Source organism: Homo sapiens, chromosome X (assembly GCF_000001405.40).
Source record: "Homo sapiens chromosome X, GRCh38.p14 Primary Assembly".
Classification (NCBI taxonomy): domain Eukaryota; kingdom Metazoa; phylum Chordata; class Mammalia; order Primates; family Hominidae; genus Homo; species Homo sapiens.
In genome coordinates, this window is record NC_000023.11 from 116700766 (window position 1) to 116717363 (window position 16598).

A 16598-nucleotide genomic window follows, 5' to 3' on the forward strand; every position below is an offset into this window, starting at 1 on the left:
CATCTAAGTTGTCATCACCAAACCCAAGGTCATCCAGATTTTCTCTTATCTGCTATGAGTTATATATTTTTCCGTTTTACATTTAGATCTGTGATTCATTCTGAGCTCATTTTTATGAAGGTTTTAAGGTCTGTCTGTGGATTTATTTTGTGTACATGGATGCCCAGTTATTTCAGCACCATTAATTGAAAGACTATGTTTGCTCCATTTTATCGACCTTATTCCTTTGTCAAAGATCAGTCAACTATATATATCTTGGTCTGTTTCTGGTCTCTGTATTCTGTTTCATTTATCTATTTGTCTATCCATGTTATTGAGATGAGATCTTGCTATGTTGCCTAGGCTGGACTTAAACTTCTGGGCTCAAGAAATACTCCCCACTGAGCTTCTGAAATAACTGGCACTACAGACATGCACTGCCATGACAGTGCCAGACTTATCTGTCTACTCTTCTTGCCAATATCACACTGTCTTGATTACTGTAACTGTATAGTAAGTTTTGAAGAAGGGTAGCGTCAGTCCTCCAACATTGTGATTTTCATTCAATAATACTGTTGTCTATTCTATGTCTTTTACCTCCTCATACAAACTTAATAATCAATTTATTGATGTCCACAAATTCATGTTCTGAGATTTTTGTCGGGATTTCTCTGAAACTATCAATCTGAGAAGAACTGACATTTTGACAATATTGACTCTTTCTATCTATGAACATAAAATATCTATTTAGGTTTATTTGTTTCATTCAAGGTTTATAATTAACTTTACATATATATCTGGTATTTTTTTAAGATTTACACCTGTTTTTTTTTTGTTCCTAATGTAATATAATTTATATTAATATAATCATTTATATATGATATAATTTATAATTATGTATTCCTAATATAATTTTTTAAATTTCAAATTTCAATTGCTCAATGCTGGTATATAGAAAGCAGTTGACTTTCACATATTAACCTTATATCCTGCAACCCTACTGTAGTTTCTTATTAGTTCTAGAAGGGTTTATTTTGGGAGTTGTTTGAGATATTTTACATAGATGATCATGTCCTCTGTGAATAAAGACAGTTTATTTCTTCCTATCCAATGTGTATACTCTTTATTTTTTTCTTGTCTTATTGTGCTATCTAGGACTTCCCATACAATGCTCAGAACCAGTAGTGAGAGCTGACACTCTTGACTTGTCCTTTTTGTAAAACATTCTTTAATTTTAAATTTTTGTGGGTACATGCCGGGTATATATATTTATGGGATAGGTGAGATGTTTTGATATAGCCATGCAAGGTGTGCTAATTGCATCATGGAAGATGAGGTATCCATCTTTCCAAGCATTTATCTTTTGTATTACTGACAATCCAATTGTAGTCTTTTAGTCATCTATTTATTTTTTATTTTTTTTGAATTATAATTAAATTATTATTGATGATACTTACTCTGTTTTGCTACTAAATATGAGACATCTTTTATTCATTCTATTTTTTTTTGTACCTATTAACCATCCTCAGTTTTCTACCACCACCTTGCTCGCTTCCATTCCCAGCCTCTGGTAACCTTCCTCCTACACTCTATGTTTATAAATTCAATTGTTTTGACTTTTAGATCCCACAAATAATTGACAACATACAATATTTGTCTTTTTCTTCCTCACTTATTTTGCTTAAACATAATGATCTCCAGTTCCATCCATGTTGTTGCAAATGACAGGATCTCATTCTTTTTTATGGCTAAATAGTACTCCATTGCGTATCTGTACCACATTTTCTTTATCAATTCAACTGTTGAAAAACACTTAGGTCGCTTCCAAATCCTGACTATTTGCAACAAACATGGGAGTGCAGACATCTCTTTTATATACTGACTTCTTTTGAGTATATGTCCAGCACTGGGATTGTTGGAGTATATGCTAGCTCTCTTTTCATTTTTGTGAGGAAAGTCAAAAGTGGTTGTACTAATTTCCATTCCATCTAACAGTGTACAATGTTTCCCTTTTCTCCATGTTCTTGCCAGAATTTGTTATTGCCTGTCTTTGTATATAAGCCATTTTAACTGAGGTGAGATGATATTTTATTGTAGTTTTGATTTACATTTCTCTGATGATCAATGATGTTGAGCTCCTTTCCATATGCCTATTTACCATTTGTATGTCTTCTTCTGAGAAATGCCTATTCAAATCCTCTGCTCTTTTTTTATTGTATTATTGGATTTATTCCTATAAAGTTGTTTGAGATCTTTATATGTTTTGGTTGTTAATCCCTTGTCAGATAGATAGTTCAGAAATATTTTCTTCCTTTCTGTGGGTTGACTCTTCACTTTGTTGATTGTTTCCTTTGCTTTACACAAGCTGTTTAGCTTGATGTGATTCCATTTGTTCAGGTCTACTTCTGTTTTCTGTGCTCAATAAACTTTTGCCTAGAACAATGTCCTGGAGGCTTTCCCCAAATTTTGTAGTAGCTTCATAGTGTGAGGTCTTAGATTTAAGTCTTTAATCCATTTTGACTTGATTTTTGTATCTGATGAGAGATAAGGGTCTAGTTTTCTTCTCCTGCATATGGATATCCAGTTTTCCCAGCACCATTTATTGAAAAGACTGTCCTTTCCTCAGTATATGTTTTTAGCATCTTTCTCAAAAATAGGTTAACTGTAGCTGTGTGGATTTCTTTCAGCTTCTCTGTTCTGTTTCATTGGTCTGTGTCTGTTTTTATGCCAGTAACATGCTGTTTTGGTTACTATAGCTCTGTAGTATAATTTAAAGTGAGGTAATGCAATTCCTCTAGTTTTTGTTGTTGTTGTTTAGAATAGCTTTGGCAATTCTGAATCTCTTGTGGTTCTACATAAATTTCAGGACTGTTTTCTTTCCATTTCTGTGAAGAATGACATTGGTATTTAGATAAGGATTACATTGAATATGTATATTGCTTTGGGTGGTATGGACATTTTAACAATATTGATTCTTCCAATCTATGAACAAAGAATTTCCATTTTTACGGTGTCCTCTTCAATTTCTTTTATGAGTGTTTTATAGTTTTTATTATGGGGATATTTTATGTACTTTGCTTAAATTAAATCATAGGTATTTAATTATATTTTGTGGCTATTGAAAATGAAATTACTCTTTAAAATTTATTTTTCACATTGTTCATTGTTGGCATGTTGAAATGCTACTGATTTTTTATGTTGATTTTGTATCCTGCAACCATAGTGAATTTGTTTATCAGTTCTAATAGTTTTTTGTAGTCTCTGGGTTTTTCTAAATATAAAATTATATCACCCGCAAACAAGAATACTTTTACTTCTTCCATTCTAATTTCTATGCCATTTATTTCCTTCTCCTGTTTGATTGCTCTAGCTAAGATTTCCAATACTGTGTTGAATAGCAGTGGTGAAAATGGGCATCCTTGCTGTGTTCCAGACCTTAGAAAAAAGGATTTCACTTTTTCTCCATCCAGTATGATGCTAGCTGTGGTTATGCCATATATGGCTTTTATTATGTTGAGGTATGTTCCTTCTATAACTAGATTTTTGACAGTTTTTATCAAAAAGAGATGTTGAATTTTATAAAATGCCTTTTCAGCATCCATTGATATAATTGTATGACTTTTATTCTTCATTTTATTGATCTATCACATTGATTGATTTGTGTACGTTGAACCATCCTTGCATCCCAGTAATAAATCCTACTTGGTCATGATGAATGTTCCTTTAAATGTATGGTTGAATTTGATATGTTAGTATCTTGTTTAAGATGTTTGCATCAATATTTATCTGAGGTATTAGACTGTGGTTTTCTTTTTTTGTCTTTGTCTGGTTTTGATATCAGGGTAATACTGGCCACATAAAATAAATTTGGAAGATTTTTCTCCTCCTCTATTTTTTGGAATAGCTTGAGTAGGATTGGCATTAGTTCTTCTTTAAATACTTTGTAGAATTCAGCAGGAAAGCCATTGAGTCTCAGGCTTTTCTTTACTGGCTTTTTTTTTTTTTTTTTTTTTTTTTTTAGCTTGGAACTCATTACTTGTTATTTGTCTCTTCAGGTTTTGGATTTCTCCCTTGTTCCATAATGGTAGGTTGTATGTGTCTAAGAGTTTGTCCATTTTCCATAGAAATTCCAATTTATTGCATATAGTTGCTCATAGTAGCTGCTAAAGATTTTTTGAATTTCTGCAGCATCAGTTGTAATGTCTCCTTTTGGATGTCTGATTTTATTCATTTGGATCTTCTCTCTCTTTTTTTAGTATGGCTAAAGGTTTGTCTACTTTGTTTAACTTTTCAAAAAAAGAAAATAATTTTTAGTAACATTGATCATTTGTATTATTTTCTTCATTTCAATTTCATTTGCTTCTACTCTGATCATTATTTCTTTTCTTCTATTAATTTTCAGTTTCGTTTGATCTTGCTTCTCTAGTTCTTTAAGATGCATTGTTAGATTGTTTATTTGAAGTTTTTCCTTTTTTCTCATGGACATACTTATAGCTATAAGCTTCTCTCCTAGTACTGGTTTTGCTCCATCTCATAGGTTTTGGTATATTGTGTTTCTATCATCATTTGTTTCAAGAATTGTTTTCAACTTCTTTCTTAATTTTTCACTTACCCACTGGTAATTCAAGAGTATATTGCTTAATTTCCATGTATTTGTATAGTTTTCAAACTTCCTCGTTATCAATTTCTAGTTGTATTTTACTGTAGTCAGAGAGGATGCTTGATATTATATCAGTGTTTTGAATGTTTTAAGACTTGTTTGTGACCTAACATAAATATGCCTGAGAATGATTCATGTGCTGAGGAAAATAATATCTATTCTGTAGTTCCTGGATAAAATTTTCTGCAAATAACTATCAGATCCATTTGCTCTATAATGCAGATTAAGTCCAATGTTTCTTTGTTGATTTTCTGTCTGGAAAATCTGTCTAATGCTGAAAGTGGGGTGTTGAAGTCTCTAGCTATTAGTGTATAGAGTCCTATCTCTCTCTTTAGCTCTAACAATGTTTGCTTTATATAACTGGATCTTCCAGTATTGGGTGCATGTATATTTAAAATTGTTATATCTTCTGCTGCATTGGCACCTTTATCACTATATAGTGACTTTCTTTGTGTCTTCTTACAATTTTTGTCTTGAAATCTATTTTGTATGAGAAAAGTATAGCTACTGCTGCTCTTTTTGGTTTCCGTTTGCTTGGAATAACATTTCTCATCTTTTTATTTTTATTCTATATGTGTGTTTATAGGTAACGTGTTTCTTGTAGGCAACAGATCAAGATGGTCTTTTTTTTTTTTTTTCATCCATTCAGCCACTCTGTGTCTTTTGATTGGAGAGCTTAGTCCATTTACATTCAATATTATTATTGGTGTGAAAGGACTTACTTCTTCCATTTTGTTAGTTGTTTTCTGGTTGTTTTGTGGTCTTCTCTTTCTTCTTGTTTTCTTCCTGTCTTCCTTCAGGGAAGGTGATTTACTCTGATGATACAATTTAGTTTCTTGCTTTTTATTTTTTTAATATTTGTTGTATTTTGTTGGTTTAAAGTTACCACAAGGCTTGTAAATTCTATCTTGCAACCCATTAATTTAAGGGGATAACAACACTTTTAGCATAAACAAACACACAAGCTAAAAAATATAGTGAAAATTAAACACTGTATCTTTGTACCCCACTGTTTAATTTTTGTTGTTTCTATTTGTATCTTATTGTACTCTATGTCTTCAAAAGTTGTTGTAGGTATTATTTTTGATTGGTTTATTATTTAGTCTTTCTACTTAGGATAGCAGTAGTTTGCACACCACAATAACAATGATATAATATTCTGTGTTTTTCTTTGTACTTAATATTAACAGTGAATTTTGTACCTTCATGTAATTGGTGATCTCTTATTAACATTCATTTTTTTATTAAAGTCATGAGGTCATGTTTTCCTGGGTTATCTTGATACTTATAGATGTTTTTCTGTTTCTGGGCATTGAATAATTACGTATTATTGTAGTCTTCTCAGTGTGTGCTTGTTCGTACCTGTCCTTCTAAATGGCTTTCCTGATATTTAAAAGGGCTTGGATTTTGTAATCTTAGCTGCATCTGTTTTAGGGAGCACCCCAAGGCTAGTAATACTGTGGTTCTTGTAGACTGATATAGGTACTGTATTTATGGTCTTGGACAAGATCCAGAGGAATTTTCTGAATAACCAGACACAGACTCATATTCATTTTCCTTACTAGCCCACATAAATGGAGTCTCTCTCTCTCTCTCTGTTCTGAGATCCCTGAACCTGGGGGTGGAGTAACACAAGTACCCCTGTGGCTGCCACCACTATGGCTGTTCTTGGTCAGACCTAAAGCCAGCATAGCACTGGTTTTCACACAAGGCCTGATGTAACCACTACCTGACTACCTCCTATGTTTACTCAATGCACTGGTGCTCTACGATTAGCAGGTGGCAAAGCCAGCCAGACCTGTGTCCTTCCCTTCAGGGTAGCAAGCTCCCCCTGGCCCTGGGCTGTTCAAGAGATGCTGTCTTCGAACCAGGGTCTAGAATCAAAAACTTTAGAAGTCTACAATTTATTATACTGTACTGTGGCTGAGCCTGCATTCAAATCAGTAGATGCAGACTTTCACACTCCTCCCTCCCCTGTCCAAAGGCAGAAGAGCCTCTACCCATAGCCAAAGCCCCCCTGCCCCGCCGCCCCCATAGGCCCATGTGGAGTATTGCCAGGCTATTGGCCATGTTCCCATAAGGTTCAAGGCTCTTCAGTCAGGCTGTGGTGAATGTTGCCTGGTCTGGGATTCACCCTTCAAGGCACTGGTCTCCCTTTTGGCTTAGGGCAGGTCCAGAAATACTGTCCAAGATTCTCATCCTGGAATCAGGGATCAAAAGTGCCTGCTGATGCTTACCACGCTGTGGCCAAGCTGGTACCTAAGGTGCACGACAGAGTCCCCTTTACTCTTCCCTCTGCTTTTCTCAAGCAGAAGGACTCTCACATAATAGGCACCACAGCTGGGAAGGTGCTGAGTCTCAAATTGAGCCAGGAAGTCTGAGTCTCATCCAAAATGTCATGGGAATTGCTGCTGGTTATTCAGGGTGCAATGACTCTACGGTTAGTAGGTGATGGACGCTGTCAGGACTGGGTCCTTCCCTTCAAGGCAGTGCATTCCCTTCTGGCCTAGAGTGTGTTTAGAAATGTCATTCAAGAGCTAGGGCCTGGAAAAGAGGCCCCACAAAGCTGACCAGTGCCCTATCTTGCTGGGCTCAGCTCTTATCCAAAATGCAAGGAAAGTCCTTCCCACTCTTTTCTCTCCTCTCCTAAAACAAAGGAAATCTGTCTCCTTTGGAGCTGCAAACTGTGTAGCCGGGAGTTAGGGGAGGGGTGATGCTAGCACTCCCTTATCTGCTTCAGCTGGTATCATGGTAGGTCACGTGCCTTCCTACTCTAACAGCTCTCGGCCCAGTTCAGCACTAGGATTTACCTAGGTGTTTCAGTCCTTGTGGCATAGATTGCCTTTCAACTTCATTTAGGGCCCCAGAGTGCTTTAGCCTACTGTGACAAGGTTTGTGGGAACCGAAGTTTGGGCTGCTGGGATTGGCTATTCCTCTCTGGCTATGGCCGGTATAAGTGTTCACTCCATCGATGAGTATTAGCTAATTTTCTTCTGGCTTTGTTTTCTGCTATAACAGGTGTTATCTCACTATGGGTTTTATTTGTATTTTTCTAATAATCAGTAATGTTTCATTTTTAAATTATAATTGCTGGCCCATGTATGTCTTCTTTTGAAAAGTTCCTGTTCCTGTACTTTGCACACTTTTTAATGGGGTTGTTTTTATCTTGTAAATTTGTTTAAATTCTTTATAGATGCTAGACTTTAGACCTATGTTGAATGCATAGTTTGCAAAAATGTCTCCCATTCTGTAGGTTGTCTGTTTACTCTGTTGACAGTTTCTTCTGCCATGCAGAAGCTCTAGTCTAATTAGATCCCATTTGTCAATTTTTTTTTTTTGCTTTTTTTGCAATTGCTTTTGGCATCTCCATTGTTAAATATTTGCCCATGCCTATGTCCTGAGTGGTTTTGCCTAGGTTGTCTCTTAGGGTGTCTATAGTTTTTGGTATGACATTTAAGTCTTTAATCCATCTTGAGTTGATTTTTGTATATGATATAAGGAAGGATTCCAGTTTCAATCTTCTGCTTATGGCTAGCCGGTGATCCCAGCACCATAAATTGAATAGGAAATCCTTACTCCATCGCTTTTTTATTTTCTGTAAGGTTTGTCAAAATCAGATAGTTGTAAGTATGCAGCCTTATTTCTGGAATCTCTATTCTGTTTTATTAGTCTATGTGTCTCTTCTTGTGTCAGTACTATGCTGTTTTAGTTAATGTAGCACTGTATCGTAGTATGAAGTCTGGTAGCATCACGTCTCCAGCTTTGTTTCATTTGCTTATAATTGCCTTGGCTTTGTTTCATTTGTTTATAATTGCCTTGGCTATTCGGACTTTTTTTGTTCCATATGAATTTTAAAATAGTTTTCTTTCTAGTTCTTTGAAGAATCTCAATAGTAGTTCAATAGGAATAACATTGAATCTATAATTTGCTTTGGGAAGTATGGCCATTTTGATGATATTGGTTCTTTTTCTCCACGAGCATGAAATCCTTTTCCATTTGTTTGTGTCATGTCTGATTTCTTTGAGCAGTGTTTTGTAGTTCTACTTGTAGAGATATTTCACTTCCATAGTTAGCTGTATTCATAGGTATTTTAATCTTTTTGTGGCAATTATGAATGGGAGTGTGTTCCTTATTTGTCTCTCAGCTTGACTTTTGTTGCTGTATAGAAATGCTAGTGATGTTTGGGCATTGATTTTGTATCCTGAGTCTTTGGCGAAGCTGTTTATCAGCTTAAGAAGCTTTTGGGCTGGCACTATTGGATTTTCTAGATATAAGATCATGTTGTCTGCAAATAGGGATAGTTTGATTTTCTCTCTTTCTACTTGGATGCCTTCTGTTTCTTTCTCTTGCCTTATTTCCCTGGCCAGGAATTCCAATACTCGGGCAAATAGGAGTGGAGAGAGAGAGTATCCTTGTTTTGTGATGGTTTTTCAGGACAGTGCTTCCAGCCTTTGCCCACTGAGTATGATGCTGGCTGTGGTTTTTTCATATATAGCTCTTATCATTTTTAGGTATGTTCCTTCAACGTCTAGATTATTGAGAGATTTTAACATGAAGGAATGTTGAATTTTATGAAAAATCCTTTCTGCCTCTATTAACATAACATGTGGTTTTGTCTTTATATGCGTTTATGTAATGAATCACATTTATTGATTTGCACATGTTGAACCAACTTTGCATTTCAGAAATAAAGCCTACTTGTTCGTGGTTGATAAGCTTTTTGATGTGCTGCTGGATTCAGTTTGCAGCATATTGTTGAGAATTTTTGCATCAACGTTTATCAAGAATATTAGCCTAACGTTTTCTATTTTTTTGTGTCTCTGCCAGGTTTCACTATCAGAATGATGCTGGCCTCATAGAATGAATTAAAGTGAATTAAAGAGGAGTCTCTCCTCTTTAATTTTAGGAATATTTTCGGTAGGAATGGTACTAGCTCTTTTATGTAAATGTGGTAGGATTCAGCAATGAATATGTCTGGTCCTGAGTTTTCTTGGTTGGTAGGCTATTTATTACTACCTCAATTTCAGAGTTCATTATTGGTCTGTTCAGGGATTCAAATTCTTCCTGTTTTAGTCTTGAGAGGGAGTATGTTTCTGGGAATTTCTCCATTTCTCCTGGATTTTGTTGTTTATCTTCATAAATCTGTTCCTAATGTTTTCTGATGGTTGTTTGTATTTATGTGGTGTTAGTGGTAATATCCTCATTGTCACTTCTGATTGTGTTTATTTGAATATTCGTTTTTTATTTATTAGTATAGCTAGTAGTCTATTTTATTAACATTTTCAAAGCAGCTCCTAGGTTCGTCGACCTTTTGAAGAAATTTTTGTGTCTCAATCTTCTTCAGTTCAGCTCTGATTTTGGATATTTCTTGTTTTTTGCTACCTTTGGGATTTGTTTGCTCTTTATTCTTCAGTTCTTTTAATTGTAATGTTAGGTTGTTAACTTGAGATCTTTCTAACTTTTGCATGTGGGCATTTTGTGCTATAAATTTCCCTCTTAACACTGCCCTAGCTGTGTCCCAGAGATCCTGGTATATCGTATCTTTGTTCTCATTAGTTTCAAAGAATTTCTTGATTTCTGCCTTAATTTCATTATTTACCTGTATTAGTGTATTCTCACACTGCTATAAAGAACTAGCTGAGACTGTGTAAGTTATAAAGAAAAAAGGTTTAATTGCCTCATGGTTCTGGTGGCCATACAGAAAGCACGGCTGGAGAGGCCTCAAGAAACTTACAATCATGGCAGAAGGCAAAGGGGAAGCTGGCACATCCTACATGGCTGGAACAAGAGGAAGAGAGAGAGTGAAGGGGGAGGTGCCACACACTTTTAAACAACTGGATTTTTGCCAGACTCTATTATTAGAACAGCAGGTGGTAAGCTCATCCCCATGATTCAGTCACCTCTCACCAGGCCCCTTCTCTATCATTAGGAATTACAGTTTTATATGAGATTTGGGTGGGAACACAGAGCCAAACCACATAATTACCCAAAAGTAATTCAGGAGCAGATTATTCAGTTTCCATGTAATTATATGCTTTTTAGTGAATTTCTTAGTCATAATTTTAATTTAATTGCACTGTGGTCTGAGAGATTGTTTATAATGATTTCAGTTCTTTTGCATTTGCCAAAGAGAGTTTTACTTCTGACTATGTAATCAATTTTACAGTATGCACCATGTGGTGATGAGAAGAATGTATATTCTGTAGCTTTTCGGTACAAAGTTCTGTAGATATCTACCAGGTCTTTCTGATTCAGTGCTGAGTTCAGGTCCTGAATATCTTTGTTAATTTTCTGTCTTGATGATCTGTCTAATATTGTCAATGAGGTGTTAACGTCTCACACCATTATTCCGTGGAAGTCAGTCTCTTTGAAGGTTTCTAAGAACTTTCTTCATGAGTCTCACTGCTGGACTCTCTTGTGTTGGGTGCATATAGATTTAGTTAAATCTTCTAACTTTTACCATTGTGCAATGACCTTCTTTTTTTTTTTTTCTATCTTTGTTGGTTTAAAGTCTGTTTTATCAGTAATAAAGATTGCAACTCTTAGTTTTTTCTGCTTTTTTGTTTACTTGGTAGATTTTTTTTATCCCTTTATTTTAAGCCTATGTTATTGCTTGTGAGATAGGTTTCTTGAATACAGCATAGTAATAATAAGTTTTGCTTCTTTGCCTAGCTTGCGTGCCACTCTGTGTCTTTTAATTGGAGAATTTAGCTCATTTACATTTACAATTAGTATTTATATGTGTGGATTTCATCCTGTCATCATGACGTTAGCTGGTTATTTTGCAGACTTCTTTATGTGGTTGCTTTATAGTGCATGTCACTGGTTTGTATATTTCAGTGTGTTTTAGTAGTGGCTGGTAATAGTTTTTCCTTTTCATATACAGTACTTCTTTTAGGAGATCTTATAAGGCAGGTCTGGTGGTAACAAATTGCCTCAGCATTTGTTTCTCTGAAGAGGATCTTATTTCTCCTTTGATTATGAAGCTTAGTTTGGTTGGATATAAAATTATGTGTTGGAATTTCTTTTCTTTAAGAGTCAGTGTGATGGACTTCTTTTGGTAGGTGACCTGACCTTTTCTCTCTAGCTGCCTTTAACATTTGTTATTTTATTTTGATCTAGAATCTGATGATTATGTGTCTTGGAGATAATCTTCTTGTGACATATCTTACTGGGTTTCTCTGCATTTCCTGTATTTGGATGTTGGCCTCTGTAGCTAGGTTAAGGAAGTTCTCATGGACAATATATTTTCCAAGTGGACTCACTCTCCCTATCTCTTTTAGGGGACACCAATCAGTCATAGATTTGGTATCTTCACAGAATCTCATATTTCTCAGAGTTTTTGTTTATTCCTTTTCATTATTTGGTTCTATTCTTGTTTGCTTGTATTATTTCAGAAAGCCAGTATTCAAGCTCTGAGATGTATTTCCTCACAGTCTATTTTTCTATCAATACTTGTGACTGCATTATGAAATTCTCGTAGTGTGTTTTTCAGCTCTATCAGGACAGTTACATTCTTTTTATACTGGCTATGTTTTCTGTCAGCTCCTGCATTGTATTTAAATTATTGTTAGCTTCTTTGCATTGGGTTTCAATGTACTCCTGTAGCTCAGTGAACTTCATTCTTATCCATATTCTAAATTTAATTTCTGTCATTTCAGCCATATCATTCTCAGCCTGGTTCAAAACCCTTACTGAGATGTCTTGTGGTTGTTTGGAGGAAAAAGGGTGCTCTAGATTTTTGAGTTTTCAAGGTTCTTGTGTTGATTTTTCTTATCTTTGTAGGCTTATCTACTTTCAGTCTTGGAGGTTGCTGACTTTGGATGTGTTTTTCTTTTATCCTATTTGGTAACCTTGAGTGTTTACTTGTGGTATAAGTTGGATTCAGCCAATTTGCTTTGTTTTTGGGAGAATATATGGGGCCAATGCTCAGCTCCCAACTCCTGGACTGTGTGCTTTAACTCTGGGGGACTTGTATTGAGTCACAATTTTGTTCTATGACTTTTTGAAGTTTGGAGTCCACTGCACTAAGGAGGCCAATGTGCAGAAGCTTCAGCAGAGTGGTAGTGGATGCAAGGGTGCCTGCCTCCCTAAGGGCATTCATCACAGTAATGGAGGCAATGCAGTTTGTGGAGGGGTGCCATGGGCCCCTGCTGGAGACTGTGTGCACTGTTGCACTGGAAGTGGTGTTGCCTTGTGGTGGGGTGCTAGCCGGCATAAGTCTGGGTACCTTCGTTGTGCCCCACAAGCAGGAGTGATCCAGAATATCCTTTTCAATCAATCAAATACTAAATGAATTCATTACCACCCACACTTGCCTTACAAGAGGACTTAAGGGAGGGTTAAACCAGAAGCAAAAGACTGTTAGCAGCAACTACGAAAACACACTTAAGCACATACATCATTGCCACTATAAAGTAATGACACAATCAAGTCTGCATAATAACCAGCTAACAAAACAATGACAGGATCAAATCCACACACATCAATCTTAGCCTTGAATGTAAACTGGCTATATACTTCAGTTAAAAGGCACAGAGTCTCAAGTTGGGCAAAGAAACAAGACCCAACTGTATGCCATCTTTAATCAGCCCATCTCACATTCAATGATACGTATACTGTCAAAATAGGGAAATGAAATAAAGTCTACCAAGCAAACAGAAAACAAAAAAGCAAGGGTTGCTATTCTAACGTCAGACAAGACAGACTTCAAACTAAAACTTATTTAAAAAGACAAAACAACACGGGAGCACCCAGATTCATAAAGCAAGTTCTTAGAGGCTTACGATGAGACTTATATAACCATACAATAATAATGGGAGATTTCAACACCACACTTATGATATATTAGACAGATTATCAGGCAGAAAACTAACAAAGATATTTATAAATTGAACTTGACACTTGACAAAATTGACCCAACAGACCTCTACGTAACTGTCACCACAAAACAGCAGAATACACTTTCTTTTCATTGGCACATGGAACATACTCTCAATTTGACCACACAATTGGTCATAAAATAATTGTCAGCAAATTCAATAATACCAAAATCATACCACCCACACTCTCGTAATATTGTTCAACAAAAATAGAAATCAATACTAAGATGATTACTCAAAACCACATGATTACATGCAAATTAAACAACTTACTCCTGAGTGACTTCTACGTCAACAGTGAGATTAAGACAGAAATCAAGAAAATTATTGAATCAAATGAGAGCAAAGATAGAGCATACCAGAATCTCTAGGACACAGCTAAAACACCGTTAAAAGAAAAGTGTATAGTTTTATATGTCCACATAAAAATTAGAAAGATCTTAAATTAAAAACCTAACATCACACTTAGAACTAGAATAACTAGGGCAAACTAACTCCAAAGCTAGCAGAAGACAAAGAGAGAAAAAAGAACTAAGTAAACACACTCAGAAATGACCACAGAAATTACTGACACAACAAAAATAGAAAAAACTTTCAGAGACTATTATGAACACCTCTATGCACGCAAATTAGAAAACCTAGATGAAACAGATGAATTCCTGGAAACATACAACCTCCCAAGTTTGAATCAGAAAAAAATTGAAACCCTGAACAGACCAATAACAAGTTCCAAAATTAAATCACTAATAAAAGCCTACCAATCAAAAAAAGTTTAGGACCAGATTATTACCTGCCAAATTCTACCAGATGTATAAAGAAGAAATTATGTTATTCTTATTGAAACTATTCCAAAATATTGAGGAGTAGAAACTCCTGCCTAACTCACTATATGAGACTAACATAGTTCTGATAAGAAACTGAGCAGACACAACCAAAACAGAAAATATAAGAATAATATATTTCATGAACATAGATGCAAAAATACTCAACAAAATACTAGCAACCTGAATCCTACAGCACATCAAAAAGCTAATCCACAATGATCAAGTAGGCATTATCCCTGGATTTCAAGGCTGGTTCAATTTGCACAAATCAATAAATGTTACCCATAGTGTAAAAATGACTAAAACATAAGTCATATGATTATTTTAATAGATGCAGAAAAGGCTTTCACTAAAATTCAACATTCTGTTATGTTAAAACCTCTCAACAAACTAGGCATTGAAGGAACATAGCTTGAATAATAGGAGGCATCTCTGATAATCCCACAGTGAACATATCAAAAGTCTAAAAGTTGAAAGCATTTCCTTAGAGAACTGAAAGAAGGATCCCCTATTCAACACAGTACTGAAAGTCATAGCCAGAACAATCAAGCAAGAGAAAGAAATAAAAGAAATCCATATAGGAAGAGAGAAAACCTACCTATTTTGGAATGCAGATAATATGATTTTATAACTAGAAATCATAGTCTCTGCCCCAAAGCTTCTGGATCTTATAAACAACTTCAGCAAAGTTTCAGAATACAAAATGAATGCAAAAAAATTTACCAGCATTTTTATACACAAACCATATACAAGCTAAGTGCCAAACCAAGAATGCAATTACATTCATCATAGCCATAAAAAATCTAGGAATAAGAGGATACAAACAAATGGAAGAACATTCCATGCTCATGGGTAGGAAGAATCAATATCGTGAAAATGGCCATACTGCCCAAGGTAATTTATAGATTCAATGCCATCCCCATCGAGCTACCAATGACTTTCTTCACAGAATTGAAAAAACTACTTTAAAGTTCATATGGAACCAAAAAAGAGCCCACATCACCAAGTCAATCCTAAGCCAAAAGAACAAAGCTAGAGGCATCATGCTACCTGACTTCAAACTATACTACAAGGCTACAGTAACCAAAACAGCATGGTACTGGTACCAAAACAGAGATATAGATCAATGGAACAGAACAGAGCCCTCAGAAATAATGCCACATATCTACAACCATCTGATCTTTGACAAACCTGACAAAAACAAGCAATGGGGAAAGGATTCCCTATTTAATAAATGATGCTGGGAAAACTGGCTCGCCATATGTAGAAAGCTGAAACTGGATCGCTTCCTTACACCTTATACAAAAATCAATTCAAGATGGATTAAAGACTTAAATGTTAGACCTAAAACTATAAAAACCCTAGAAGAAAACCTAGGCAGTACCATTCAGGACATAGGCATGGGCAAGGACTTCATGTCTAAAACACCAAAAGCAATGGCAACGAAAGCCAAAATTGACAAATGGGATCTAATTAAACTAAAGAGCTTCTGCACAGCAAAAGAAACTACCATCAGAGTGAACAGGCAACCTACAAAATGGGAGAAAATTTTTGCAACCTACTCACCTGACAAAGGGCTAATATCCAGAATCTACAATGAACTCAAACAAATTTACAAGAAAAAAACAAATAACCCCATCAAAAAGTGGGCGAAGGATATGAACAGATACTTCTCAAAAGAAGACATTTATGCAGCCAAAAAACGCATGAAAAAATGCTCATCATCACGGCCATCAGAGAAATACAAATCAAAACCACAATGAGATACCATCTTACACCAGTTAGAATGGCGATCATTAAAAAGTCAGGAAACAACAGGTGCTGGAGAGGATGTGGAGAAATAGGAACACTTTTACACTGTTGGTGGGACTGTAAACTAGTTCAACCATTGTGGAAGTCAGTGTGTCAATTCCTCAGGGATCTAGAACTAGAAATACCATTTGACCCAGCCATCCCATTACTGGGTATATACCCAAAGGACTATAAATCATGCTGCTATAAAGACACATGCACATGTATGTTTATTGCAGTACTATTCACAATAGCAAGGACTTGGAACCAACCCAAATGTCCAACAATGATAGACTGGATTAAGAAAATGTGGCACATATACACCATGGAATACTATGCAGCCATAAAAAATGATGAGTTCATGACCTTTGTAGGGACATGGATGAAGCTGGAAACCATCATTCTCAGCAAACTATTGCAAGGACAAAAAACCAAACACCGCATATTCTCACTCATAGGTGG